The sequence below is a fragment of the Homo sapiens genome, chromosome 1 (assembly GCF_000001405.40).
Source record: "Homo sapiens chromosome 1, GRCh38.p14 Primary Assembly".
In the NCBI taxonomy this organism is placed as follows: domain Eukaryota; kingdom Metazoa; phylum Chordata; class Mammalia; order Primates; family Hominidae; genus Homo; species Homo sapiens.
The window spans coordinates 151,700,058-151,724,126 of record NC_000001.11 but is presented as its reverse complement, the minus strand read 5'-3'; the positions used below and the strand labels follow the sequence as shown (position 1 = coordinate 151,724,126).

General features: G+C 53.7%; 2 protein-coding genes across 10 annotated transcripts in view, besides 4 other annotated features; one reads left to right on the top strand and one right to left on the bottom strand.

The window, feature by feature from the left end:
* The window catches only part of RIIAD1 (regulatory subunit of type II PKA R-subunit domain containing 1), an 18,255-nt gene extending 5,679 nt beyond the window's left edge, over window positions 1-12,576 (bottom strand). For 2 of the 5 annotated variants that reach the window (XM_047418092.1, NM_001144956.3), the window contains exons 1-2: window positions 2,507-2,605; window positions 1,965-2,041 (exon numbers count right to left, since the gene is read on the bottom strand). In XM_047418092.1, the coding sequence (XP_047274048.1) occupies window positions 1,965-2,041; window positions 2,507-2,590 (161 nt within the window). In that variant the 5' untranslated portion in view covers window positions 2,591-2,605. Of the gene's footprint in view, window positions 1-1,964; window positions 2,042-2,506; window positions 2,606-4,438; window positions 4,532-4,854; window positions 6,581-9,597; window positions 10,659-12,129 lie in introns of those variants that run through there. The other 3 variants (XM_047418094.1, XM_047418090.1, XM_047418091.1) reach the window with 3 other exon arrangements.
* Window positions 2,651-2,720: a silencer, noted in NCBI's record as "silent region_1325". NCBI's record gives its function as "represses an Ori minimal core promoter by ATAC-STARR-seq in GM12878 lymphoblastoid cells {active_cell/tissue: GM12878}" and the evidence as "EXISTENCE:reporter gene assay evidence [ECO:0000049][PMID:35858748]".
* Window positions 7,100-7,394: an enhancer, noted in NCBI's record as "tiled region #11691; K562 Activating non-DNase unmatched - State 8:EnhW". NCBI's record gives its function as "activates a minimal TATA promoter and a strong SV40 promoter by Sharpr-MPRA in K562 cells {active_cell/tissue: K562}" and the evidence as "EXISTENCE:reporter gene assay evidence [ECO:0000049][PMID:27701403]".
* CELF3 (CUGBP Elav-like family member 3) lies at window positions 7,324-24,069 on the top strand. 5 transcript variants are annotated; one of them, NM_001291107.2, is made up of 13 exons: window positions 7,324-8,251; window positions 9,451-9,533; window positions 14,336-14,384; window positions 14,782-14,907; window positions 15,050-15,129; window positions 16,192-16,335; window positions 16,479-16,620; window positions 16,833-16,982; window positions 17,393-17,458; window positions 17,766-17,903; window positions 18,162-18,305; window positions 18,959-19,096; window positions 20,679-24,069. In NM_001291107.2, the coding sequence occupies exons 1-12, from the start codon at window positions 8,107-8,109 to the stop codon at window positions 19,084-19,086; spliced, it is 1,395 nt and encodes a 464-aa protein (NP_001278036.1). In that variant the 5' UTR covers window positions 7,324-8,106; the 3' UTR covers window positions 19,087-19,096; window positions 20,679-24,069. The 5 variants fall into 5 exon arrangements, with proteins under 5 accessions (NP_001278036.1, NP_001278035.1, NP_009116.3 ...); NM_001291106.2 differs by having other exon boundaries at window positions 14,779-14,907; window positions 17,769-17,903; NM_007185.7 differs by having other exon boundaries at window positions 14,779-14,907.
* Window positions 17,428-17,928: an enhancer, noted in NCBI's record as "H3K4me1 hESC enhancer chr1:151678675-151679175 (GRCh37/hg19 assembly coordinates)". NCBI's record gives its function as "activates a minimal SCP1, AML or CMV promoter by ChIP-STARR-seq in primed H9 embryonic stem cells {active_cell/tissue: H9 hESC(primed)}" and the evidence as "EXISTENCE:reporter gene assay evidence [ECO:0000049][PMID:30033119]".
* Window positions 17,929-18,429: an enhancer, noted in NCBI's record as "H3K4me1 hESC enhancer chr1:151678174-151678674 (GRCh37/hg19 assembly coordinates)". NCBI's record gives its function as "activates a minimal SCP1, AML or CMV promoter by ChIP-STARR-seq in naive H9 embryonic stem cells {active_cell/tissue: H9 hESC(naive)}" and the evidence as "EXISTENCE:reporter gene assay evidence [ECO:0000049][PMID:30033119]".

Genomic DNA, 24,069 nt, shown 5'->3' with positions numbered 1-24,069 from the left:
AGAATCAAGGCCATCTCTGACAGGTGACTGAAACAACTCATTCTTATTCATCAACCCCAAGCATTCTAATCCTGTTGTTTGTGAGCAATGCAAATGTTGATTTAGTTTCAGCTTTTAACTTCTATCCCCAATCTCTCTGCTGGAACTACTACTAACTTGGAGAGCAAGCTCCCCAGGATAGGAACGATATCATCTTATTTCCCTTTAGAAGAAAAGTTGCAAAAGGTGACGGCCTGATCCTCAGGTCTGATATTGACAGAGGATCCCTAAACTCTCTTTTGCCCAAGGCTTATCCCTGGCCAACCTTCATAACTGGATAGGTTTCAGTTTTCTCTGTTTCCTTCCCCTATCTGCCCTCTGAGAATTTGTTGCCACTTGGAGAAACGTCTATAATATGAATAGTGAGTTTTTTTAATTTTTATTTCATGAGATAGAATCTTGCTCTGTCGCCCAGGCTGGAGTGCAGTGGCGCAATCTCGGCTCACTGCAACCTCTGCCTCCCAGGTTTAAGCGATTCTCCTGCCTCAGTCTCCCAGGTAGCTGGGATTACAGGCACGTGCCACCACGCCTGACTAATTTTTGTATTTTTAGTAGAGACAGGGTTTCCTCATGTTGGCCAGGCAGGTCTCGAACTCCTGGCCTCAAGTGATCCACCCCTCTCAGCCTCCCAAAGTGCTGGGATCACAGGCGTGAGCCAACGCATCTGCCTGGCCAACTTTTTTTTGTTTGTTTGCGATGGAGTTTTGCTCTTGTTGCCCAGGCTAGAGTGCAATGGAGCAATCCCAGCTCACTGCAACCTTTGCCTCCTGGGTTCAAGCGATTCTCCTGCCTCAGCCTCTCAAGTAGCTGGGATTACAGGCATGTGCCACCACGCCTGGCTAATTTTGTATTTTTAGTAGAGACGGGGTTTCACCATGTTGGTCAGGCTGGTCTCGAACTCCCGACCTCAGGTGATCCACCCGCCTCGGCCTCCCAAAGTGCTGGGATTACAGGCATGAGCCACCTTGCCTGACCTCGCCAACTTTTGAGAAGACAAGGGAGGGCCCACCTCTGGCTATAAGCACACAGTCCAGAGGGGAAATGGGGACCGACTGCTTACAGCACAATACAGTGGGAAAACCAGGGGTTTGAATCCTGGTTCAGCAACTTTGGGAAGGTACTTCACCTTTCTAAGCTTAAATTTTCTCACTTATAAAATAAAAATGACAATCACCTGTCTTTTGTGGAGGTGCTGGGAGGATCAGCAAAAGTGTTCCAAGATGCCACACACTGCGTGGGCACTGAGAACACAAACACACTCCACAAGCTCGGAGCTTTGGACCAGTAACAGAAGATTGACAGCTCAATTACAATACAGTGTGGTAAGTGCTAATGTAGGGGAACAGCACAATGCCTGGAGATGGGTGCCATTATAATTATTTAAACCTTGTCTATTTGTCTATAACCAAACAGCATTTGAGATAGCTCTATTGTTTTCATCCACTGATGCTCCGTGATTTATTTTTTTAATTCTCCTTCTTCATCCCATTAGGATATGTTTCCATTCAAGCAAATGCCAGGCTGAAAGGAGGGTGGGGGAAGGAAAGAACATATTCCAGGATACGCTGGTAAATTGTCTTCTCTTCCCCAAGAAAAGAGTGGCTTCCAACCCTTGGAATTTTTCTACAGTAATGTTTTCAAGTAGGGAAGGGCCAACCAGACAACTGATTTTTGTTTTAAGTTCAACTAGTGATTTTGTTAAGCTCCTATGGTTGAGAATAGTGTTCTACACCCAGTGGATGGCTGTTGGGTTTCGCAACGCCAAATTCCCTCTTCCAAGTGTCATAAGGTATGTATTTATCCTTATGGTTAAAGTAAATGAATAGACATATTTTTAAGAATTTAGAGATAACTGAAGGAAACCTCTAGAGATAACGAAGAAAACCCTGCGTGCCACAAATCCCAGAGCCTGGAAAACCACCTACCTGAAGAAACCACTTATGAGCCACTCTACTTCTTTGTGGGTCCTTAGGTACTTTTCGTTAGCAATCCGAGTCTGAATCTGGGGGGCAAGAACAAAGGGTCACTTCCATTAGGAGACAGATTCAGGGTTCAGCCCTGGAGATGTGAAGGGCTGCGGGAAACGGCGTGCGCATTTAACCCAAGTCTTTCCCCAGGATGCTTGAAAGTTTAAGCCACCCATCTTCTTACAGATAAAATATCATTCTGCCGCTTGTTCAGGATGAGGGGCCTTTACTAAGGTCGGATGTGTCTGGCAGTAATTTCGGCCCATTTCTCTGGCCGAGTCCCTGAGTTAGTTCTTCCTGCACTCTCAGATGCCCGTCGCGCTCTGTGCTGGGATCAGACGCCTAGAGGTCCGCCGGGGGTCTCCCCTGCGCCCTCCCCACTTTATCAGGGAACAGGCTCCCGCTCCCCTTCTCTCGGCGGCTCTCTTCCCAGTCTGGGGCCCCAGTCCTGGGGCAGCTACACTTTGGTGGACGCTGGATGGGGGCGCGGGCGCACCCACCTTGAATTTTCGCAGCTGCTCCAGCTGCGCTGCGCTAAGCGCCCCGGGGTCGGGCCGCTGCAGCAAGCCTGGCAGCGTCTCCATCTTGCTGCGGTCGTCAAGGCGACCGGCCGCGAGCCGGCGAGGCCCCGCCCCCGGCCCCGCCCTGCCCCCAAGCCCGGCCCCTTCAGCGAAGCAGGGGCTAGGGGCTGAGGGAACTGAGGGGTGAGCTCCGGGGCGGGGGCTTGGGGGGTGGGTCTCTAAAGGATCGCCTTTCCCGGATTGGGGGACTGATTTCTGGACTTAATTGTATGTGGAATGAGCCCTTTTTGACCCCACCCAACTTCAGGGTTTTTTTGTTAGCTCTAGAGTAAAACAGGAAAAAAGGTCTCCCCGAATCTGCTTCCAGACTCCCTCACTTGGACAGAAGCTAGAGGAAGCCTAGTACTGGGGAAAGAGAACCCAAGCTTCTTCCCTTTCCACTGTCCCAGAAGCCAACCCGTCCCTCTGTCCGGTACACATTCGACACTGGAGCCGTGGATTCTTCAAACAACGTGGAAGCACCCCAGAACATAGAGTGAGCTGAGTTCTGCAAAGGAAGGAACGTTCTGTCCGACTAAAGATGCTGGAAAGGACCTGGGGGACATTCTGCCAGAATTTCCCCCTCTTGGACTGACTTTTTTGTGTAGATTAACTTTCTCTTCACCCTGGGCTCCTCATAAATTCTAAATTATTTTATTCCACTCCCAACTGAATACGGGAGGAGAAAGGGAATTTGGTCTTCAAGATTTGTTCTTCTAGTATCTAATTAAGAAGAGAAAGTGAAACATAAAGCCAGAGAGCTGAAAATAGCCACGAGAAAGGGCATGAGCCTGTCTGTCAATACACACATGCCGAGCTCCTACCCCCACAGAGATCGTGCTCAGCAGAGGCCTTCTGAGAAGCAGGAGAAAAAAGGGAGGCTGTCTTTTCAGATTTGTGAACAACTGCCCTAAGGAGCAAGAAAATACCATGAGAAACAAGCTCAGCATTAGGCCCTGGCCGTGGAGGGGTTATCATTGGTCTGCTTCTGTCCTTTCCAGCAAAGACTGAGGAAAAGAAGTGAAAGTGTTGGCAGTTCCCAAGCCAGGGAAAACCACAAGAAGTAAATTAGGTAGTGGGCTACAAGCCACTTCCCAGGAACCCCATCTTGGTTAGTGATCATTTTGGTTGATTGTCTTTTTTTAAGAGAGAGAGTTAATAGAGTGAGAGAGAGATAAGCTGCCATCTGTCAGAAGTGATTTTTTTTTTCCCGGCAGGAGCAAGAGGTTAACCAGAGATAATGGTTCCTCTTGGCCAAGATCTGTCTTTTCTCCCCATACTCCCTCCAGAGAAGCTGGTGGTGGCACCTCCAGAGCTGTGCCAGCCAGTACAGTCACCACAAGCCACCTGTGGCTCTTGAACACTTGAAAAGTGGCTGTAGGTGTTAAATGTGCAGCAAATATAAAATACACACAGGATTTTGAAGGCTTGGTATGAAAAAAATCTCATTAATAACATGTAATTGATTTACATGTTGAAATAGTATTTTGGATATATCAGGTTAAATAACATTTATTATTAAAAGTAATTTCTCTTGTTTCTTTTTGCTTTTATATATGGCTACTAGACATTTTTAAACCATATATGTGGCTTGTATTATATTAGACAATGCCAGAGCCTGGACCAGCAAACCTACACACTCAAACACACACAGGCATGCACAGTGTTCTCTACCTCCCCACCTCCAAGTAGGAAATGATTGATACCCTCCGTCTGCCAATCTGTGATCTTCTTGTGCTTTGATAATCAATCAAGCCTTTCTTCACTGATCACATCCTATGACCCAAATGCCCATGTATGAGAGGGGCTACTTTTTGTTTTTTTAACAGCGTCTCAGTACTCACTATTATGTATTGTGTTGGCCTGTCTTACCTTCCACTTGAGGTGGAAGCCACTTGAGGGCAGGAAGGTTATAGAATCAATTCTTTGTGCACTCTCATAAATTCTGCTGCAGATGTCTTCACTCTGTATTCAATCAGGGAAGCCAGTAAGTACTTCATGACTAGCCACTCTGCCCACACATACCACCACATTTTGCCCTTTCTGAAAAATATCCCAATTATCCAGCATTTCTCATTTCCTAAGAATCTAAAGCCAGGATCAGAGCTCTCCCTTTATAAATTCAATAATCTTTTTATGTAGGGCAGCCTAGCTTTGACTGCAGAGGAATAAAAAAGAGGGTGAGCTTGGGGGTGGTGGGCAGAGAAAGTATCCTGGAAGCCTCTCTCTCTCCTAGAGAGAAACTTTCCAGAATAGGCATCTGAGTCTCAGGGCTCCCCTGCCTTTACCTCACAGGACTCCCATCCCATGGCCTGAAAGAACACCAGAGATGTGTTCACCGTCACTCAGCAAGGAGAGTCTGATGAGTGGTACAACTCTTCTCCTCTAAACCCTGCCTCTTCTCTCAGACTGACACCTTTGGGGACCACAAACTAAGCAAAGGACTGGACGCATTTTGCTGTCTGCAGCTGTCTCCCCAATTACTGACTGGGAGGAGGAGTGAGGGGAGTTCATTTTAATTCATTTTTGTGAATGTTTAATATTTCAATTAATATGATTAGCCCCAAGCCTGAATGAGCAGCAGGGCGGCAGATCTGCTGAGAAGACATAGAGTAATGAGATCAACAGGGCCATAGGGTCTTCCCCTTCTCCATCCTCAGAGGACATGATCTGTTTAGCATCTCCATAAATACCAAGATCAGATTAGAAGGCAAGGAAAGGAGCAGTGGGGGTGGGGTAGGTGAGTGGAAAGTTACTTTCAAGATGTGTGTGCCCTTCTTGATTCCCTGGCTCTGCCGTCATTCGCTTCTTCTGAGCACCCACCACTGAGTCCTCTAGCACCTCCCCCCACTGCCACCCCATCTTAGGGGACCCTACTTGGGGGACCCGGGCATCCATGTGATGAAGTGTAATCAAGTCTACACACATACACATTCACTCAAATGCAAGCACCTGCCAGAGCGTGGCTCCAGGCCACAACAAAAAAACAGGCTAAGGAAGGATGGGAGGTGGTCCACAGAATCAAGCAGTAAAAAGAAAGACTCTCTCTCATCCAGGGCTTAAATGGAGACAGAAGAGGAAGAAAGGCCAGACTTCACCACTGCTCCCATTCTCAAGAGGAATGTTTGATGTGGGAGTTAAATGCGTGGACTCAGGAGCCAGACTGCCCAGGCTCCAGTCTCAGCTAGACCTCTTTCTAGCTGCATGGCTTTAGGCAAGTTATTTCAGCTCTGTGTCTTGGTTACCTCCTCTCTATTTGGAGATGACAAAATCTACATCATAGGGGGGTGGTGAGGGTTTAGGAGTTAGTAAATATAAAGCACTTGGCACAAAGCCTGGGACACTGTAAGAGCCATGTAAGCACTGGCTGTTACTATTATTTCCCTTCCAGAAGAGAAGCCTGCCTGCCGTGATAGCTCAGGAATGGAGGCCCCTGGGACTCAGCTGGGACACAGTTTAGAGACACGAGTGCCTCTGTGGAAACAGCAGCCCTACCCCGGGGGAGAAGAAGGGAATGACAGGAAGACAGGGTGCTCTACAAAAGCCCAGAGCCCCAGGAGAGCCCCCGTTGCTGAGCACTGACAGAAAGCAAGGGCTACCACCACTGACAAGGTTTGATGTCCACAGATAATCCCTGCACTGAGGGCGTGCTCTGAGTGGGCCCAGTGCATGGAGGGGTCACGCTCCCTCCAGATCGTGGAGCCTGCCAATCATCCATAGAAGTATCCATGGTCAGGGGAGCAATGGTCCCCGAATGTGCCTCCCCTGCTCTTCTGTGCTACCTGGCTCAATTTGAGTCCAACTCAAAGAACCCAACTGAAGAAAGAAGCAAAGGAAAGAGTAATTGGGTTTCTGCATCCTAAGGGGAAGCTTGACAGCTGTGGTTCTTCCCACTGAAGGAATCAGGAATCCACTGTTGTCAGAGGTTGTTTGCATGGAGTGTTTGTTAAGCTCCTGCTACGCATGAGCAAGACAGGGTGCTAGACACTGTGAACAGTAAGATGCTGAATTAAACGGTGTCCTGGTCTTCAAGGAGCTTACAAGTGAGAGCGCCCGCGGCGCCGCCTCCGCGGCCTCCCTGCCCACGCACTTATACACACAAACCCCCCAGAGGGAGAGAAGGGGGCATCGGCAAATGCCAGAAAGCTATCGTTTTTCTTGGTTCCTTTTCTGGAAAATATACAGTTCTCTTTCTGCATTCTTCTCATCCTGCTCCTCCTTCTCCACGTCCCTTTCCATTTTTCCTCTCTGCATTTTTTCTTTTTCCCCCAGACTCTGCGACCTGCTTCCCTCTCCATCTATATCTCCTTTCCCTTCAGCCTATGCAACCGTCCTTTCTCATTTTTCTTTCCCCTGATTTCTTTCCTTGACTCTCTACTCTTGGGGCTCCCCAGATGCCGGGCTCCCCTCTTTCCCCGCCACCCCCCATCTGCTGAGTCTTCCAGCACCGGGGACAGCTCCAGCCCCCGGAACAATGGACCCCACTTTAGGGTTCCTCTATAAATTCTCCATCTTAGTGCTTTGCCCAACTCCTGACTGGGGAGTAAGATGGGGGAAGGGTTATTATCAACAGGACCAGCTGCTCTTCTGGGGGCGGGAAGGGAGTCAGGGAGGATGGAGATAGAAAGAGGGCGTGGCTCGTGCCTGGATTGTGCGTCCCTCTCCAGGGTAGAGAATTTGTATTCGACCCCTGAGACTGACATCACTGATGTCAGGGGAAAGGAGGTGGGAGTGGGGAGGGGGGTGTGGAGGGGGGAGGTTTTTGTTGAGGAGAGCGCGGCCGGAGAGCAGAGCTCCGGGACCCAGGTGACCGGGAAAGCAGGCAGCCCCAGCGGCGGGAGCAGCCGGCAGCAGCCCAGGCCCGGGGACTGGGGTGGGGGTGGGAGGGGGGCTGAGGGGAGGACCTGAAGGGGGGCGGCAGGGCAAAAGGGACCCCTGGAGCCCTGCCGCCATCAGAGATCAAGCATCTGGCATCAGGGATCTTCGGACCCAGCAGAAGGATCCGCCACAGGGGAGGTGTCCTCCCAGGGAAGCCAACGAGAGATTCACCTGCCCCACATCAGGAGTGGGCCCCCCTTACTGACGCTGCTGGCAACCATAGCAGGCCCCTTAACCCCTCAGTCTCCTCCCCATCACCCTCCTCAGGCCCTTTCCCCGCCTCCAGCTCTCATCTCAACTCCCAGTTCCCAGCCCTCTAAGCCCTAGCACCCCCGGCTACCACCTAACCCTCCAGGTCTTGGCCATACTCACCCCCATCCTGGGACATTTGCCAGATCTCTGGGAGGGAGATCGTTTGTTTAGGCGATGCCCCCTGGTGGCATGACAGCGTCTGCCTAGACCCCTGACCCCTAGCACTCAACTCCCTGGGCCTCCTTTGTGTGAAGAGCCGCCCCTCTGCTTAGCAGCGTGGTTGGGGGCCAAAGGGAAAGCCAGCCCCAGCTGGGCCCCCGGGCCCCACCACTTATCTCCTTGCTGGGCAGCTCCCCTTGGCCTTTGGGCCTCTCCCTGCTCCCCTCGGCCCCTCCTCCTGGGCCGCCTCAATGAAGGAGCCGGATGCCATCAAGCTGTTTGTGGGGCAGATCCCGAGGCATCTGGAGGAGAAGGACCTGAAGCCCATCTTCGAACAGTTTGGTCGGATCTTTGAGCTGACTGTCATCAAGGACAAGTACACCGGGCTGCACAAGGGTGAGGGGTCGGGCAGGCTGAAGAGGCTTCGGGGTGGGCTGGGAGGCTGGGGGAAGTTAAGCCAGGCTGGAGGGGTGGAGCGGCTGGGAAGGGCTGATGTGGAAGGAGAAGAGTTCAGGCCTGAGGAAAGTGGATGGAGGAGCTGAAAAAGAACTCAGCTAGAGTGATCAGGAAACCCCGGTGAAGGACTAAGGAGGGCCTCTTTTGGCTGAAGAGTTGTCAAGACGGCTGCAAAGATGTGGATCCCAGACATATGGGTGTGTTGATGTCATGGGATGAACTCAAGAAAGAATGGAGGGACAAGAGAGCTGGTTTGGGAGATAAGCAGCTGGGTAGGGGTGTGTGTGTGTGTGCGTGTGCAGCAAGACTGAGAATCTGAGCAGCCTCAGATAATATTGGGATGGGGGTCAGGACACAGGGTCAGGTGTTCAATGTGGAAAGCGTGGAGCTGGACTGGGCAGGGCAGCTCCAGGACTAAAGAGAGGGACTAGGAAGCAGGGCATGAAGGCTGGAGATTGGTAAAGATCTGGAAAGTGTGGGAGGCTTAGAAAGTTAAGAGAGTGGGGGAGAAGGGAGGGTGCTCCTCAGGCCTATCCAAGGGCTGTGCGGCTAAGTGGGGGCGGTCAGGGTCAGCACTTGGAGAGCTCCACACACCGGGGATCCCAGGGGCCACACCAGCTCCCCCTCCACCTGGCACAGGGAAGAGGCACTTCCGGCTAACTAACTGTTCTTCCCTTCCCTTCTCTATTTCACTCTCCGTCCTCCACCTGCCTATGGTGGAGGTGGGGAGAGATGAGGAAATAGGGAAAATGGGAGAAGAGAGGGATGATGGTGATCAAGATGGAGGGAGGTGGAGGTGAGGGAGAGAGGGGAAAGGAGAACAGCTCAGCAGGAGAGAAAGCCACACTACTCTTACTTGTCTGGCGGTCACATGGTCCTTCTCTCCCTACACAAAGCCCATCTCCTGACAGCCCAAGTGTCCTCCCTCTCCCATCACCACCAGTATTTAGGCCTCCAGGTGTCTGCCCCACTTCTGGGGCAGAGAGTCTACCCCTTGGAGACACCTCTCTACCCCAGCAGGCAGAAGATGACAAGAAGGGAAAGCTTCCCAGTCGTCAGTCTTTGGAAGGGAGCCTTTCAGAGAGGGGAGATGGAGGACTCACCCCCCGCCGTGTTTCTCTGCCCCTGCCCCTCCTCAGGATGTGCCTTCCTGACATACTGTGCCCGGGATTCAGCCCTGAAGGCCCAGAGCGCCCTGCACGAACAGAAGACGCTTCCAGGGGTGAGTCCTGCCCTTTGCAGGGCCAGGGGACTGAGAAGGGCCATAGAAGTGGCAGGAGGCTCACCACCCTCCTGACACTGAGCATAATTTCCACCTCCTCTCATCACCAGGAAGTCCCCCTCTCTCTCTGTAGCATCCATCTTTCTTGCTGTAGATGCATGCATTTCTTGTTACCTGGAGAGAAGGAAAGCAGCGATTAGTGGCGTAAACATGACTTTTACCAGGAGCAGATGCAGCCCCTTCCCCACTTCCCAAGCTGCCCATGGGGCAACACTAGAGGGAGGACTCGCTGGTTGGAAGGTGTGGGGAAAAGTCTCTGGACACCAAGTGTGGATCAGGGTGAGCAGGGGGCACCCAGGCACTCTTTTGTCACTCTGGAAAGGCAGGCTGGGTGGCTGTGAGATGAGGGAGGAGTGCCCAGAGAACAGGCAGCTGGTGCCGGCTAGATTGGCATCTCGGTGCTGGTTCTTGAGCTCTCATCTCCCTTCTGTCTCCCAGGAAGAGTCCCAGGAACAGAGCCACAGAGCATCAGGGTAGAGCAGGGCCTGGGCAGGCCTGGGCAGGTCTGGGCTGGAGGTAGGCCTGGAAGTAGCAGGCAAGGGCAGGGACAGACATTGTAGAGGATCAGGCCTGATGCCACCAGGTATGCCCAGGGAGGCAGGGGTGGCCTCAGAGGTGGCCCCTCTCCTGCAAGGTCCTATCTCTTTGTGTCTTCTTCCCAGCCAGCCTTGCTGATTGTCCCAAGCCCTTCCATGGCCTCAACCTTTGAGTACTGCTAGGAAAGCAAAGCCAACTGCGGCAAATCCACCCAAACCCCCACGCCCACCAAAGATCTTATCCCAGTCAGTGTCAAGAATAGGCATTGCCTGTCACAGCCAGAGTTAAGGGCCATGCACGTGTGTGAGCTGCAGGACCCAAGGCGAGCGTGTGTTTGTGCACACAGGCATGTGAGCTCTTGACAGGCCAGATGTGTGGGGTTTGGGCACACGTATCCCTGGGAAGCTTGGTCCCCATCCAGTCCCAACTTGCCTTCCCTGTTTTTCTCTGTGGAGGCCCCTCACAAATCAACAGTTTTCATCTCCATCGCTGTTTGTCTTTTTCTGTTGTCTCCCTATCTCAGAGCCCCTGCAGAAATGAGAGGGGGTCAGAGGAAAAGGTAGATAAAGAGGACTGGAGTGGAGACATGGATGAGAGACAGCCTGGGGATGGGCATGAGCCCCAAAGGTCATGTGTACCAGCTGCAGGTGTCCACCCTAGGTCTGTGCCCCTCCAGCTGCCTGGCAGCTCAGGCAGAGCTCCATCCTGGGTGTGGAGAGGCACCACCTGCCCTTCTTGAGGAAGTCCAGCCCAGGGTGGGGGTGAGGAAGAAGGGCGCCTGGTTAATGATTGTCTAGCCCTTCTCCAGAGCTTCTAGGTGACGCTGAATTCTCCACTTTAGCCCTTGTCCCAGGGGACAGAATCCAGAGGGACCTGACACAGCTTCCAGTAGGAAATGAGGGTTCCATCCTCCAAGAGGGACCCCCATCCAAGGGGTTTGAAGGAACAGACCCAGGGCAGTTGTGGGGAGCAGATGTCTGTGACCCTTTGTCTTCCCTAAGTCTTCTCCTGCTACCTGCATTCTCCCCTCAGTGTGTGTTTGCACGTGTGTGTGCATGCAGTGTGTGTGTGCATGCATGAGTGTGTGTGCATGCACACGCATGTGTGTGCAGTGTGTCAGCTCCTGCATAACTGTTCTTCCTACTGTTTAATCTCCATGCCTTCCTACTGCAGGTTTTTTTAAAAAAATCAGACATTTAGCCCCCTCTCCTTGCTCCCCATCTCTGTCACCCCAAAAATCTAGAAGGTGCTACCATACTAGGGTGATATTTTGGGCTGCAGAGGGAAAGAGAAAGAATGGGGGCTGGGCCTATAGCTGTTGAGCCCCATTTCCTTTTCTCTCCCCTAAGAGTTCCCAGGAGTGGCTCTGCCACAGGTCCCTGAATTTGTCCTCTGAGCAGGGTGTGGCATCATGGAGGTGGTGGAGTGGGGGTTGCCCTCTGTCCAGCTCTTCCCCCTTCACCCTGAACCAAAATCCCACTTGGGGGACATGGGCCTTCCCTGTCGGTCTGCAGTCAGGAAGGTGGATTCTGGCCCCACGGAGAGAACCTGTGAGTGGTCTGGGACGCCGGGAACAAGTGTGGAGCCAGGAGTGGCAGGACCCCAGGCTGTACCCTCAAAAGAATTAGATTTTGTGAGAACTGTGAGGTCTTCTTGGAAGTGGAGTTTTTGCTATTGGCGAGAAAGATGAAGGCCTTAAAAGTGACCGTGGTGGAGGGGCTCGGCTATACTGGGTTGGGGTATAAATAGCCACTCCTTCTTTGGGAGGCCCGAGGGAGGGCTTGTCACCTGGTGGGTAGTAACTAGGGAGGAAAGGTGCTGCGCCTGGTTGCCAGGTAAACAGGGCACAGCTGGACTCAGGGGAGGGGGCAGGTGTGTCTGAGCTGAGCTAACGAAGCCTGAGCTCCCCACAGGAAGTGCCAGGCCACGAAGAAGGAGGCTGGGAAGGGGACACTGGAGCGCCAAGGGTCCTGTCTGTGAGGGTGTAGGGGGAGCCTACCGTCAGCACGGTCCTTGCTGTGGTCTGTACACTTGTGTGTCTCTTTGTGCGAATCCACATCAGCCGTGGGTATTTCTCGAGATGCTATTTTTGTGCCTGGGAGCCTATGCCAGGAGGGAACTGCATCCTTTCTCTCTGGGTCCCAGGTTCCCATCTCCATCTAGAACAGCAAATCCCCAGGCCTGCTGGGAAGGGGGCTAGCGCCAAGCGTAAGAATCCCCCAACCCTGGTTCTGATTCTGCTTCTTTTGGCGTGGGTGTAGGGGTGGGTGCCTGGCTGCGGAGGTGCCTGTGAGGGAATTTCCTGAGTGCTTTGGCTAGAGCACAGGAGAGAAGGAGGTGAAAGCCCATGCACCCTGAGCATCTGCCCCCACGACACGCTTTGCTTGCGCATGCGCACCCGCACACACATGCCTAAGGAGATTGAGCCTCCGATGGGATAATCCCAGATTGGCGGGTGATAAAGCTGGGGGCAGATTGGCTGGAGGATTTGTATGACTGTTACCCTCCCTCCTCACCAGCTGCTCTCAGATCCAGAGATTTGGGGGGCGGGGGTGGGGCCCTGGGAAAGGAGTATCAGTTGAGGTGGGGCTTAGGTTTGGTCCGAGGCCGGGAATACCTAACTGGTGGAGTCGGCCAGACTGACTGGCATGATGCGACACCTGGGTGAGGATCCAGGGTGAGAAGGGGCAGGGGCAACTGTGACTTCTGCACTTCTCGGCGCTAAGTGATGCCACACACAGGATCTCCACATGCTGGAGCCTGGAGCTGACCGGAACCTGATTAGACATCGCCTGGCCCACCCCCTTGTTTTACAGATAAGGAAGTTGAGGTCCAGAGGGGACTAGTGGCTTGTCCAAGGTCGCCCAGCTAGTAAGTGGCAGGGCAGGGCTAGTCCTCAAATCCAGGTCTCCTGACTCCCAGTCCAGTACCTTTCCTGAGGGTACCTCTAGCCTCACCCTCAGAATGTAAATTGAGGTTTAATTTTTCTGGTCACTGGAACTACTGCCCCACCATCAGATGAGTGGGGCAACCAGGTGTGGTTCCAGCTGTCAGAGTCCTCAAGAGCAAAATATTTTCAGACACTAAATACTAAGTCCTTCTCCTCTTTCTCCAGTTCCTATAATACTCCCCACCCTGGTTAAGAAAATCAACCTGCAGGAGTAATTTCCAAGTCCTCTCACCAGACAAGAACATGGAGAGTGGAACTAGGAATTTCTCCATTTCCACTGAAGACTGAACAAAGGGAGATACTGCAGGGGTCGGGGAGAGGTTAGAGCTCTGGAGGACTTCCGTGCACAGGGTAAATTGCGAAGGAGCACGGGACAGCAACTCCTCCTTTAGAGCCCTCCAGGCACCAAGGATTTGCTCTGGAGGAGGGAGGCAGGAGAAGGGATGGGATGGCCCCTGCAGGGCCTGCTCTGCAAGCCTCCCTCCAGAATCAGGAAGGTTTTCTGGGCCCCTCCCCCACCTCCCAGCCCCCACCAAATCCTCCACCCCCAGCATACCCTGTTAACCACCCCCCACCCCACTCCTTCTCTGGGTGTGTGGAGCAGCAGAAGTGATGACGTCACCACGGTCGCCAGGGCGACGGGGACGGATAAATCAGGCTGAGTGGGCGGTTGCCATGGTGCGCATTCTCCCGTTGCCACGGAGACTGGGCATCTGCTCCCTTTGTGCTGCCCGAGTGCCTTCCCCCTGGGGTCAAGGGGTATAGGGGGGCAGAAAGAGAGGCAGACACACCTCTAGAGGTCAGAAGGAAGTCTGGGCCTTTGTGGGGTCTCCCTCAGTCTAGAGTCCTCCTTGGGGCTTCTTCAGAGTGGCCTCTGTTGCGCCCACTTTGTAGAATTGAGGCAATTCTTATTAAATAACTCCTTGGTCGGGCTCTCTCTCAGGCCCCGGGTCCTATGTGCAGGCCCCCTTCTCCCACTCAGGACAGCAGCACCCATCCCTGGCCAAGTCATCAGGAGCCCAACCTGAGCCTGGAGCTGTGCCCATGAGCCTCTCCCTCTACATCCTCTCTCTCTGTGCCTCTGATCCCCTCAGGCCTTCATCCTGAACAGTATTAGGCCCTGTCCCTTCCTTCCCATCAGAAACTTAGAGGGCCTGGGGCTTGCCCCTCTAGTCTCTCTGCAGGGCCTGGCCTGGGAGGGCTCTTGGGTGTTCAGAGGAGGTCCCCAGCAGCTGCCTTCTCTTCTCTCCTTCAGATGAACAGGCCGATCCAGGTCAAGCCAGCCGACAGCGAGAGCCGAGGAGGTAGGTTCTGTGCCTTTGGACTCTGTCCCTCTCCTCCCACCCCCAGGCCCAGGGCCTGGAGTTGTCGAGGGGTAGCCTTTCTTGAGGGAGAAAGCCTGATGATTCTGAAGAGTTCCCAGCTGCGGTGAGATAGGAGTCAGTGTGGCCAGAGCGGGTGAGATCTGGGGCGGGTACAGATGGCAAAACTGAGGCCCAGGGTGGAGTGCGAGTCCCTCAGAGCTGGGATGAGCACCCTCTGCAACTATACCCCATTCCCCAACCATCAGCCCCTACAGCCATTGGACCCTAAGGGTAGCAGAAGTAGTGTTAGGAGCTCCAGGGAAGGGCGGAAGAAGGGCTGGGAAGGCAGCCAGGAGGCCCTGAACATGCCCTCCTCCTGTGCCCTACCACCCAGAAGACCGGAAGCTCTTTGTGGGGATGCTAGGGAAGCAGCAGACAGATGAGGACGTCCGGAAGATGTTTGAGCCCTTCGGGACCATCGACGAGTGCACTGTGCTCCGGGGGCCAGATGGCACCAGCAAAGGTAGTCCACCCACTTCCCCCTTCCCCACCGGGCCCTTCCCCTTCCTGTTCCACCCCCAAGACTCCCTAGGCATCGGGTTCCACCGCGGGGTCCCGCAGGGATGGGTGCTTACCCCTCTCCTCCTCCATCTCAACCTCTCCAGGCTGCGCCTTCGTGAAGTTCCAGACCCACGCTGAGGCCCAGGCGGCCATCAACACCCTTCACAGCAGCCGGACCCTGCCAGTGAGCCCCACTCCCCTGCCCCCGGGCCTCTCCTTCCCACCCTGCCCACCTGCCAGGCCCTGGCCCAGAGAAGCAGTCCACTCAGGATGGGCTATTTGAATTTATTGGAAAGGAATGTCCTGGCAGAAGAACCAAACTGCTTAGGGACACCCTCACATTTCAAATGGCACTTCCCCACCTCCCCACTCCTCCCCTATTCCCCATCCACCTTCAGCCAAATTCCCTCACATCCCTCTCCTTCTCCCTCCATTCCCCAGCCCTCCCTTCACCCCCGTCTCTTCTCCAGCCTTCCCATATCCCCCTACCCTCATTTGCTGGGGCGCCAGGACACTTGCTTAGAGGCCCCACGTGCACCCCTCTTCCCTGCCCCTGCACAGCAGCGTTAGGTCAGTGACCAGTCTAGAGCCCACCTCTAAATTGGAACTGGCTGACTCAGAAGGCTGTGCACTTCCCATAACTCACAGCTCTCCAGCAAAGGCTGGGCAGACATTTCACGGGGCCTTGGTGGAGGGGACACAGCATTGGGTAGAGAACTGTGTCCAATGACCCTATGCCCCTTCCAGCTTTGAGATTCTAGGATTCTACCATCATCCTTGCAAATGCTCCAATTTGGTTTTTATTCAGCTCAGACTAGTATTAAGATTTGAGGCACACCATGAGGACTGGGGTGTGGGGGCAGGAGTCGTGGTAAGGCACGCAGGGCAGCTACAAGGGAAGACTAGCCTGAGATTAAACATTTGCTGTGGCAACCCAGGGTGGGGATGATTTCCAGTTCAGAGTCCTCACAGAGTAGCCAATGATGCCCTTTTCATTCCAGTAGGCTTTTCACTTTCCAAGCATGTGCCTTCACATTCCTCATTTTTTCTTCTAGCCTCTTGCACATCCTAGCATAGGGAGAGAGTGGGATTAATATCTCCCCATCTTTCATACGCAAAATGGTGGCCGCCCTCTCAGAGAGGCCAAGCCATGCCATGGGGGTGGAATGGAGACCAGGTCCTGAGGGCTTTGGGGAGGAGAGACCCTGACCCTGCACCTCTGACCTGTGTGTGGGCCCGTGCCCAGGGTGCCTCGTCCAGCCTGGTGGTGAAGTTTGCTGACACTGAGAAGGAGCGAGGTCTCCGCCGCATGCAGCAGGTGGCCACCCAGTTGGGCATGTTCAGCCCCATCGCCCTCCAGTTTGGAGCCTACAGCGCCTACACCCAGGCCGTGAGCACTGCCCCTGATGCCGGGCCAGCCCTCCTGACCCCCTGTATCTTGCCCCCACCCTCCCGATGCCAAGGCCCCGGGCTGGGAGGGAGCCAGGCTTGGGCACAGGGGGCCTGCCCCACTCTCCTCTCCCCTCCCCCCAGCTGATGCAGCAGCAGGCGGCCCTGGTAGCGGCTCACAGTGCCTACCTCAGCCCCATGGCCACCATGGCTGCCGTGCAGATGCAGCACATGGCTGCCATCAATGCCAATGGCCTCATCGCCACCCCCATCACCCCATCCTCAGGTATGGCCTGGGCAAGGCCGGGCAAGGGAGCTAAGCATGGTAGGGGTAGGGAGGGGCACAGGGCATTGCTCAGGGAAGCCTCGGGGTCTGGGAGGGACTCAGGGGTCAGAGAGGCCTGCTTCCTCCCCTCTGCCCACAGACTTGCTGACTGGTTCTCTGCCTGTGTGTGTGTCTGCTCCTCTGCTCTCTCCCTGTCGCTTTCTCCTCCCCAGGAACCAGCACCCCTCCTGCCATCGCTGCCACGCCTGTCTCTGCCATTCCGGCTGCCCTGGGCGTCAACGGCTACAGCCCGGTGCCCACCCAGCCCACTGGGCAGCCTGCCCCTGATGCTCTGTATCCCAACGGGGTTCACCCCTACCCAGGTGGGACTCTCTGCCTGCCCACTCCGTCCCAGCAACCATCTAAACCACCACTCCCATTAGGGAGGCAGGACACACCTTCCCTCCCAGCTTTGGGGGTACAGGTGCTTCCTCCTGCCCTGCCATCCTGGGCGGGGATGATCCTTCCTGTTGGGCTCGGCCAGGAAGCTGAGGTGTAGAGCAGTGAAGCGACCTGTCCAGGGTTGCAAGACAGTCAGACCCAAGTCTTCCTAACGCTGGGCTCTTTCCCCTCTTCCCACTGCTTTGTGCATTTCTGCCTTCTCACTTCACACCCCATGCCCAGAGAAGCTCTGCTCCCCACCTGCCTGGCCTCGGCCCAGAGGCCCAGAGAGGCACTGAGGGCCCCCACTGTGTGCCAGGTCCACGCTCATAGTCTGTGCTGCTCTCCCCAGCCCAGAGCCCCGCGGCCCCCGTGGACCCCCTGCAGCAGGCCTACGCGGGGATGCAGCACTACACAGGTGAGGCGCCCTAGCCAGGGCCCCTGCTCAGGTGGGAGAGGTGGCAGGAGGAAAAGAGGCCCAGTAACTGGGTCTGGGCTTCTTGGCTCCCTGCCAATCACCCTCTTCAGGCTTTACTGACAAGCCCAACTGTGGGGAGGGGTCTTTAAGGGCAGCACACCCAGGGGTCTGAGGCAGCTCCTTCCCTGACCACCTCTCAGCCCTGCAGGTGCCACTGGCCTGGGCTAGGGGAAGGGAGACAGGGTTGGCTGGGAGGGCTCAAGAAGTCAGGGAAGCCCCATCAGCCTCTCTCTTCTCCCCACCCCAGCAGCCTACCCAGCAGCCTACAGCCTGGTTGCACCTGCGTTCCCGCAGCCTCCAGCCCTGGTCGCCCAGCAGCCCCCACCACCACCTCAACAGCAGCAGCAGCAGCAGCAGCAGCAACAGCAGCAGCAGCAAAGAGAAGGTGCTGGCTGGGGCCTTGGGAGACAGGAATGCCCTCGTTATGGGCTTGGGGACTCCCTGTCACCCCGCGCTGAGCCCAGCTCTTGCCCACGTGTCAGGATGAAAGCAAGTGGGGAGGGAGTGGCCGGAGACTTGGCCCACACTGTCAAGGACTGGGACTGGAGGGCACTCCCAGGATCTGCTTTCCCTGGGACATTTGCTTCTGGGGTGTGTGCCTCCCAGTCACTGAGCTCTTTCTTCTGTCTCTGTCGCCACCCAGGCCCTGATGGCTGCAACATCTTCATCTACCACCTGCCCCAGGAGTTCACTGACTCAGAGATCCTCCAGATGTTTGTCCCCTTTGGCCACGTCATCTCAGCCAAAGTCTTTGTTGACCGAGCCACCAATCAAAGCAAATGTTTTGGTAAGAATATGATATGGCACATTTTTTGCCATACTCCAAATCAGGACAAGGTCTAATATATTTGAAGGCATTTATGGTCACAGTGGACCCAGTATTTGAAATACTGATTATCCAAGAGTACAAAAGAGCCATTTTGACACACCCAACATGCCACACCCAGCTGCTGCCTCGGCCCATCTCTTCTTCCTTCAGCGTTTCTCTTAAAAACTGGCCAAATTCATGTCCCATGAGGTCTGAAATAGGCTTATGGTCTGGGGATGTTTGGTTTGCAAAAGGTGGGCTTGGGGAGTCGGTTTTAGCTGCCTTCACATCTTTGAAAGTCTTCCTCAGGGGAGAAAGGGAATGTTCTTCTCTGCTTCAGAAGCCATTTAGGGTCTGGAAGTGGCCGTTTTCAAAGGGCAGGCTCAGAGCTATCCAGGCAGAGGAAGGGGTCACTGGCACAGAATGCTGGGAAGAATGTGGTAGTTGGAGTGGCTGGACTGGATTCATCCATTCAACCCATCAATCAACAAATTCCTAAGGAATGCTGCTATGTGGCAGGCAGCTTTCTAGGCATTTGGGACACTTGGGAGACACAGGGTAGTGCCAGAGGTCTCCTAAGCACGGAAGAGCGAGGTGGGGCTGGGCCGGGCCTTATGCCCCTCTCACCCCAGGCTTTGTGAGTTTCGACAATCCGGCCAGTGCCCAGGCTGCCATCCAGGCCATGAATGGCTTCCAGATCGGCATGAAGCGCCTCAAAGTCCAGCTAAAGCGGCCTAAGGATGCCAACCGGCCCTACTGAGGGCCCCCAGGTGGGTCCCGCTCCGTTGTGGCCTCCCTCCCCAGCTTCACACACTGCAGCCAGGGCCCTCGATTGGACTACACCCCCAACCCCTGTCCTCCACCACCCTCAGGGATGCCCACCCCACCCTTGACCCTGGGCACTTGAAGCAGGGGGCTGGGGCAGCTCCCTCAGCTGTTTTTCAATAATCTGAGTCACTCTCTCTCTCTCTCTCTCTCTCACACACACACACCCTCCGTGACCCCAGAAAGAGCCAAGTCTTTGTATATATGTGTCCACTCCCTGGACCTTCCACAATATCTGGTCTCGTTTGTCTGGTCAGTGTCCATGTCTGTGTGTGTCTCTTTCTGGTTTTCCTTCGGGTTAGAGTGGAATTAGGGGAACAGGACTGGAGGATTAAGGGGTTGGCTGAGGGTGCCAGAGGGCCCTAGAATCCTTGGCTCCTAGAATCTCTGTTGTCCTGAGAAGTGAGGACATCAGCCCTGGTTTCCCTGGACTTCAGGTGATTTTTCCCATGTAGCAGCAGACCCATGGGGCAGCAGAGTGCACAGGACAGACTGGGGGAGCCCATTTTCAGGCCTCTTGGGAGTTGCTCTGGTTTAGGTGGAAGAGGTTGAAATGTCGCGCCGCCTGTGAAGTTTACTTAGGTCTCCTCCACCCCATTGCTGGCCACCACCTCAACCTCATGGCCACAGAGCTGTGAGCCTTGGTTACTTTCGCACTGTTTAATCTCCTTTGGACCAAACCCTTGAGAAAACACAACCCAAGAAAAATACCCACATTTTCTGTTTCTCCCCTTTCCCCCCAATCCTGGCTGCTTAACTCCCCCAACCCTGGGGGCCCCCCCAGCCCAGGGCCCGTGTCCATTGTCGGCCGAAGCCCCCATCCCCGGACCCCTGCTCCGGGCCCCTGTAAGTTGCATGGAACGAGCGTGTTGTCTTTGGAGCCGATTGTTTGTTCTTTGGGGAGGGGCCGCGGAGGGAAGCACCCCCAAGCCCAAGGTCAGGGCCGGGGGCAGCTCGCGGGACGTGCTTGGTCTACAGTGGTTGGTGACTGTGGTCTGTGTTCTGTGCATTTCTCTTGCTTTCTGTGTTCCTTTCCAAAAAGGAATGAGAGCACTAACTGGGGGCCGGGGGTGGTCTCACCCCATGAGACTCCATCCCTGAGCCGTGACCTGGGCTCTGCCCTGGCCTTCTCTGCGGGTGTTCCCTTTCTTTTTCCAGGTGTCTGTCTCTTACACGCACCCCCTTCTCTGTCTCTCTCTCGATTTCTCTGCCTGCCTGTCTGTTGTCATCTCTTTGCCTCTCTCCCCCTCCAGTCTTTATTTTTCTCATGGGCTATCTATTTCCTTCCTAATACCGTTTGGTTTCCTGTATGGTTTGCCCCCTCCCTCCTGTCTCCTCTATCCCTGCTCTCATGGCTGGGGGTGGGGGCAGATGGGTCCGTTTGGACTGAGGCCTGATGATCTGCCTTCCTCAGGCAGCCCCATCCTAGATGCTGTCACTCACCCCAGCCCCCTCCCCTCCCCCAGAGCCCGTGATCCGCATCGGGGGTCTCTTCCCCATGCTTCACCCATGTTTCTTCCTTCACAGGTCTGGAGATCCCAGAGGAAGGGGCGCCTCACACCCTCTTCCCACGACTGGCCCCGGCCCTCTCCGCACACCTGCCCTGGGCCTTGACTGGGTTCTGGGGCAAACGCTGCTTCGTGGCCCCCGGGGGCACAAGACACCGGCCCCTCCCACCCCCCTGCCTCTCTGAAGGGCCATGGCTATGCTTCCCTGGCTCCAAGGGCCCATTTCCTCCTAGATGCCCTTTTGGCCTTTGTGAGGGAGCGAGGAACAGGCTCGAAGGCTCCGGGGTATCTGCCTTCTGCTGGGCTCCTGTGACAGGCCTTCTGTACCCAGCGTTTGTACTTGCCTCCCCCAACAGTGGGCCTGTTCTACCCGTGCAGGCCCCAGGAGAGCCGCAGGGGCCTGCCACACACTCCCAGCTCACCCTCACCCCAGCCTCTTCCCCACATTAGGGGTTTCTTGGAAGCTGGCTCTCACTCCCCTCCACCCTCAGCTAGAGGTAGGATATCCCTGATTCCTGGGCTCCCAGCCCTAAAACTCACTGCCTCCCCCAAGGGCCCCCTCTAAGGAGGGTGTGGGGGAGCCCTGAGGGCTGCCTCTCTGCCAGTCAGCCACAGAGACCCTCCTCCTTTCACGAGGAAAAGACCTTCCCCTGAACCCCTAAAAATGTTTACAGTCTCTGCTGGTTCCCTCTGTGTAAATACCACTACCACCCGTGCGTTATCCAGCCCGCCCGGCCTGGCCCGGACGCTGCCATCTCTCTTTCTGGGAGTTTAGACAATGTTGCCCTTGGATTTTTTTCTCTCTCTTAATTTCTCCCTTTGCTTTGGGGGGTAATTGGGTATTGGGAGGAGGGGTGTGGGGAGGGGTCAAGGGGTTTATTACCTGATCATTTTCTTTAGGAAGAGGTTTTAGGGAAAAGAAAATGGGGTGGGGGTGGGGGTGGTAAGGGGAGACCGGGGAGTCAGTTTCAGACAGTTCTCTATGCTTAACTTATTTATTTATTGCATTTTACTTTTAAAGAGTTGGTCTTTTCTGTCTAAATAAAGAAAAAAGTTTAAAAGCATCAAATAAGAGTCTTGGAAGGTTGAGGGTAGGGGATTGTTCCCTACCCACACTGGGAAGGGGGAGGGAGGTAGAGAATGAGGTTTGAGAGAGAAAATCCCATCAGGGAAGGCCGGGCCCTTGCTTTTGAGCAGCATCCAGGCCTTGTTCATGGCTTCATGATCCTGTCCTTCAGCCCTTCTTTGGGGCTTAATTCTGGAATGTCCTGCAGAGTTCGGCACAAGGAGATCTCCCCTGTCGGGGGCTCTCCCCTGTATCCAGCTCTGTCCCTCTGAAGGCTGAGGACTTGCAGTCTCACATCTGGACCTCCATTTCTGCACAGAGGCCAGTGTGGATACTGGGAGCCAGTTGTGACACCACCATTTACTAACCACTGCTCCATATGTGATTCTGTTCCAAGTCCTTATTGTGCATTTCCTCATTTTACCTCCTAACAACCTTGTGAGGCAGGCTATAGTTTATTTATTTTACTTATTTACTTTGAAACAGGGTCTCACTCTGTCACTCAAGCTGGAGTGTGATGGTGAGATCATAGCTCACTGCAACCTTGAACTCCTGGTTCAGGGGATCCTCCTGTCTCAGCCTCCCAAGTAGTTAGGACTATAAGCGGCTGCACCACCACGCCCAGCTCATTTTTAAAAATGGTGTTTTTTTTTGTAGACAGGGTCTTGCTATGTTGCCCAGGCTGGTCTCGAACCCCTGGGCTCAAGCAAACCTCCTGCCTTGGCCTCCCGAAGTGCTCAGATTACAGGCATGAGCCACCACGCCCAGCCTAGGTAGGATATAATTTTATAGATGGGAAAAGGAGGCTTGGAAGGTTAACTAACTTCCCTGGAGTCACAAAGCCAGTAAGGCATGGCTGTAGGAGTTGAACCCAGTTTGTCAGATTCCAAAGCCCATGATGTTCTCTTCTTACCTGTTCTTTGACCTGAGGCAAAGATCCCAAGAAGTAGCAAGCAGGCTTAGGAGTGAGTCCTTCAGGTAGAGGGTGGACTGCATAAGCCCTAAGTCCCTCCACTTCCTAGATTCTTCTCTGTGAGCTGCTTTAGGGCAGGCTCAGGATCACACAGGTGTCTTCTTTGACTTCATAGAACATGTGCTTCTAGGCTGCTACCCCACCCTCTGTCTTCATCATTAGTAAGCAGCACCACTAGGTACCTACTCAAGCCAAAACTTGGATTACACCCTTTCTCTCATGTCTCCTCCCCAATCCAACTGCAAAGCCCTACCAAGTCTACCTCTAAAGTATTCAGCTGATTTACTTACTCATGTCTCTGCATCTCCACAGCCATCAACACTGTCCACGTCACATTGCTCTCATCTGTCTCCATGTTTCTTTTCCTGCTCTCCTACAATTTGTTCTCCCAAGAAGCCAAGAGTCATCTTTTAAAAGTTAATTCACCAACATTTACTACCCAGTCTGCTTTGTCCAGCACTGTATCCTGGTCACCCTAAACAGTGCCCCAAATATTAGACATTGCTTAGTAAATAAGAAATGACTGTTGGACATCTATACTGGACTTCCCATCCATATCTACATCATCATAGGGCCAATGCTAAAACTTTCTCCCATAAAGTCCTGACTCATATATTTCTATTTTCTAGTCACATAGACAGAAAACCTCAAGAGTTTTTAGTACTTTCGCATAAACTCAATGGTATTAAATCATTTAAGATTTCACTTCCACAAACTTTCTCATATCATTTCCCTCTTTTCAATTATCACTGCCTACACTTATTAACTGAGTAATCATAGCAATTTCCTAATTGGTCCTTCTGTCTATGTTCTGAAGCATCAATCTTTCTAAACTGCAGCTAATAAAAAACAAAACTTCTCTGCTGCTGTTTTTTGTTGTTTTTCATAGAACACCTCAGCCTGGCATTCAAGGCTCTTCGAAGCCTTACTTTCCACTTCATTCCTACACATACCCAAATAGAACTATTCATTGTTCTCTAGGCAAGTTTGGTCCCTTTTCTCCCATGTCTTTTCATTCCCAGTTACTACAGTGTCTGGCACATAACGGCTCAATAAATGTTTGTTGAATGCCTTCTTGTTGAAATCCTTCTCACACTAAAACAGTTCACCTTAAACACTACTTTCTTCATGAAAATCTTAACGGCCCTCATCCACAGGTCTTTCTCCTTCCTTTTCTAGTCCTTATGGCACTTAAACCTTTCACTGCTGTGTATCATGGCCATGCGTAAGTGTCTCATTCTTCTGTGAGCCTGTAAGCTGGCAGAAATGTTTCTTTCTTTGCTTTTGTGTCTGTTGCAGTATCTCAAACAATCTCCCCACCCCACCCCCAACAGCAGATACCTAATAAATGTTTGACTTTAACCACTGTAA

Bases quoted from the DNA above. Each gene is read 5' to 3' on its own strand.
- CELF3 (NM_007185.7), top strand. From the start codon at position 8,107: ATGAAGGAGCCGGATGCCATCAAGCTGTTTGTGGGGCAGATCCCGAGG. The intron at 16,983-17,392 runs GTGGGACTCTCT...TGCTCTCCCCAG, and splicing joins CGGGGTTCACCCCTACCCAG to CCCAGAGCCCCGCGGCCCCC. The intron at 17,459-17,765 runs GTGAGGCGCCCT...TCCCCACCCCAG, and splicing joins GGGGATGCAGCACTACACAG to CAGCCTACCCAGCAGCCTAC.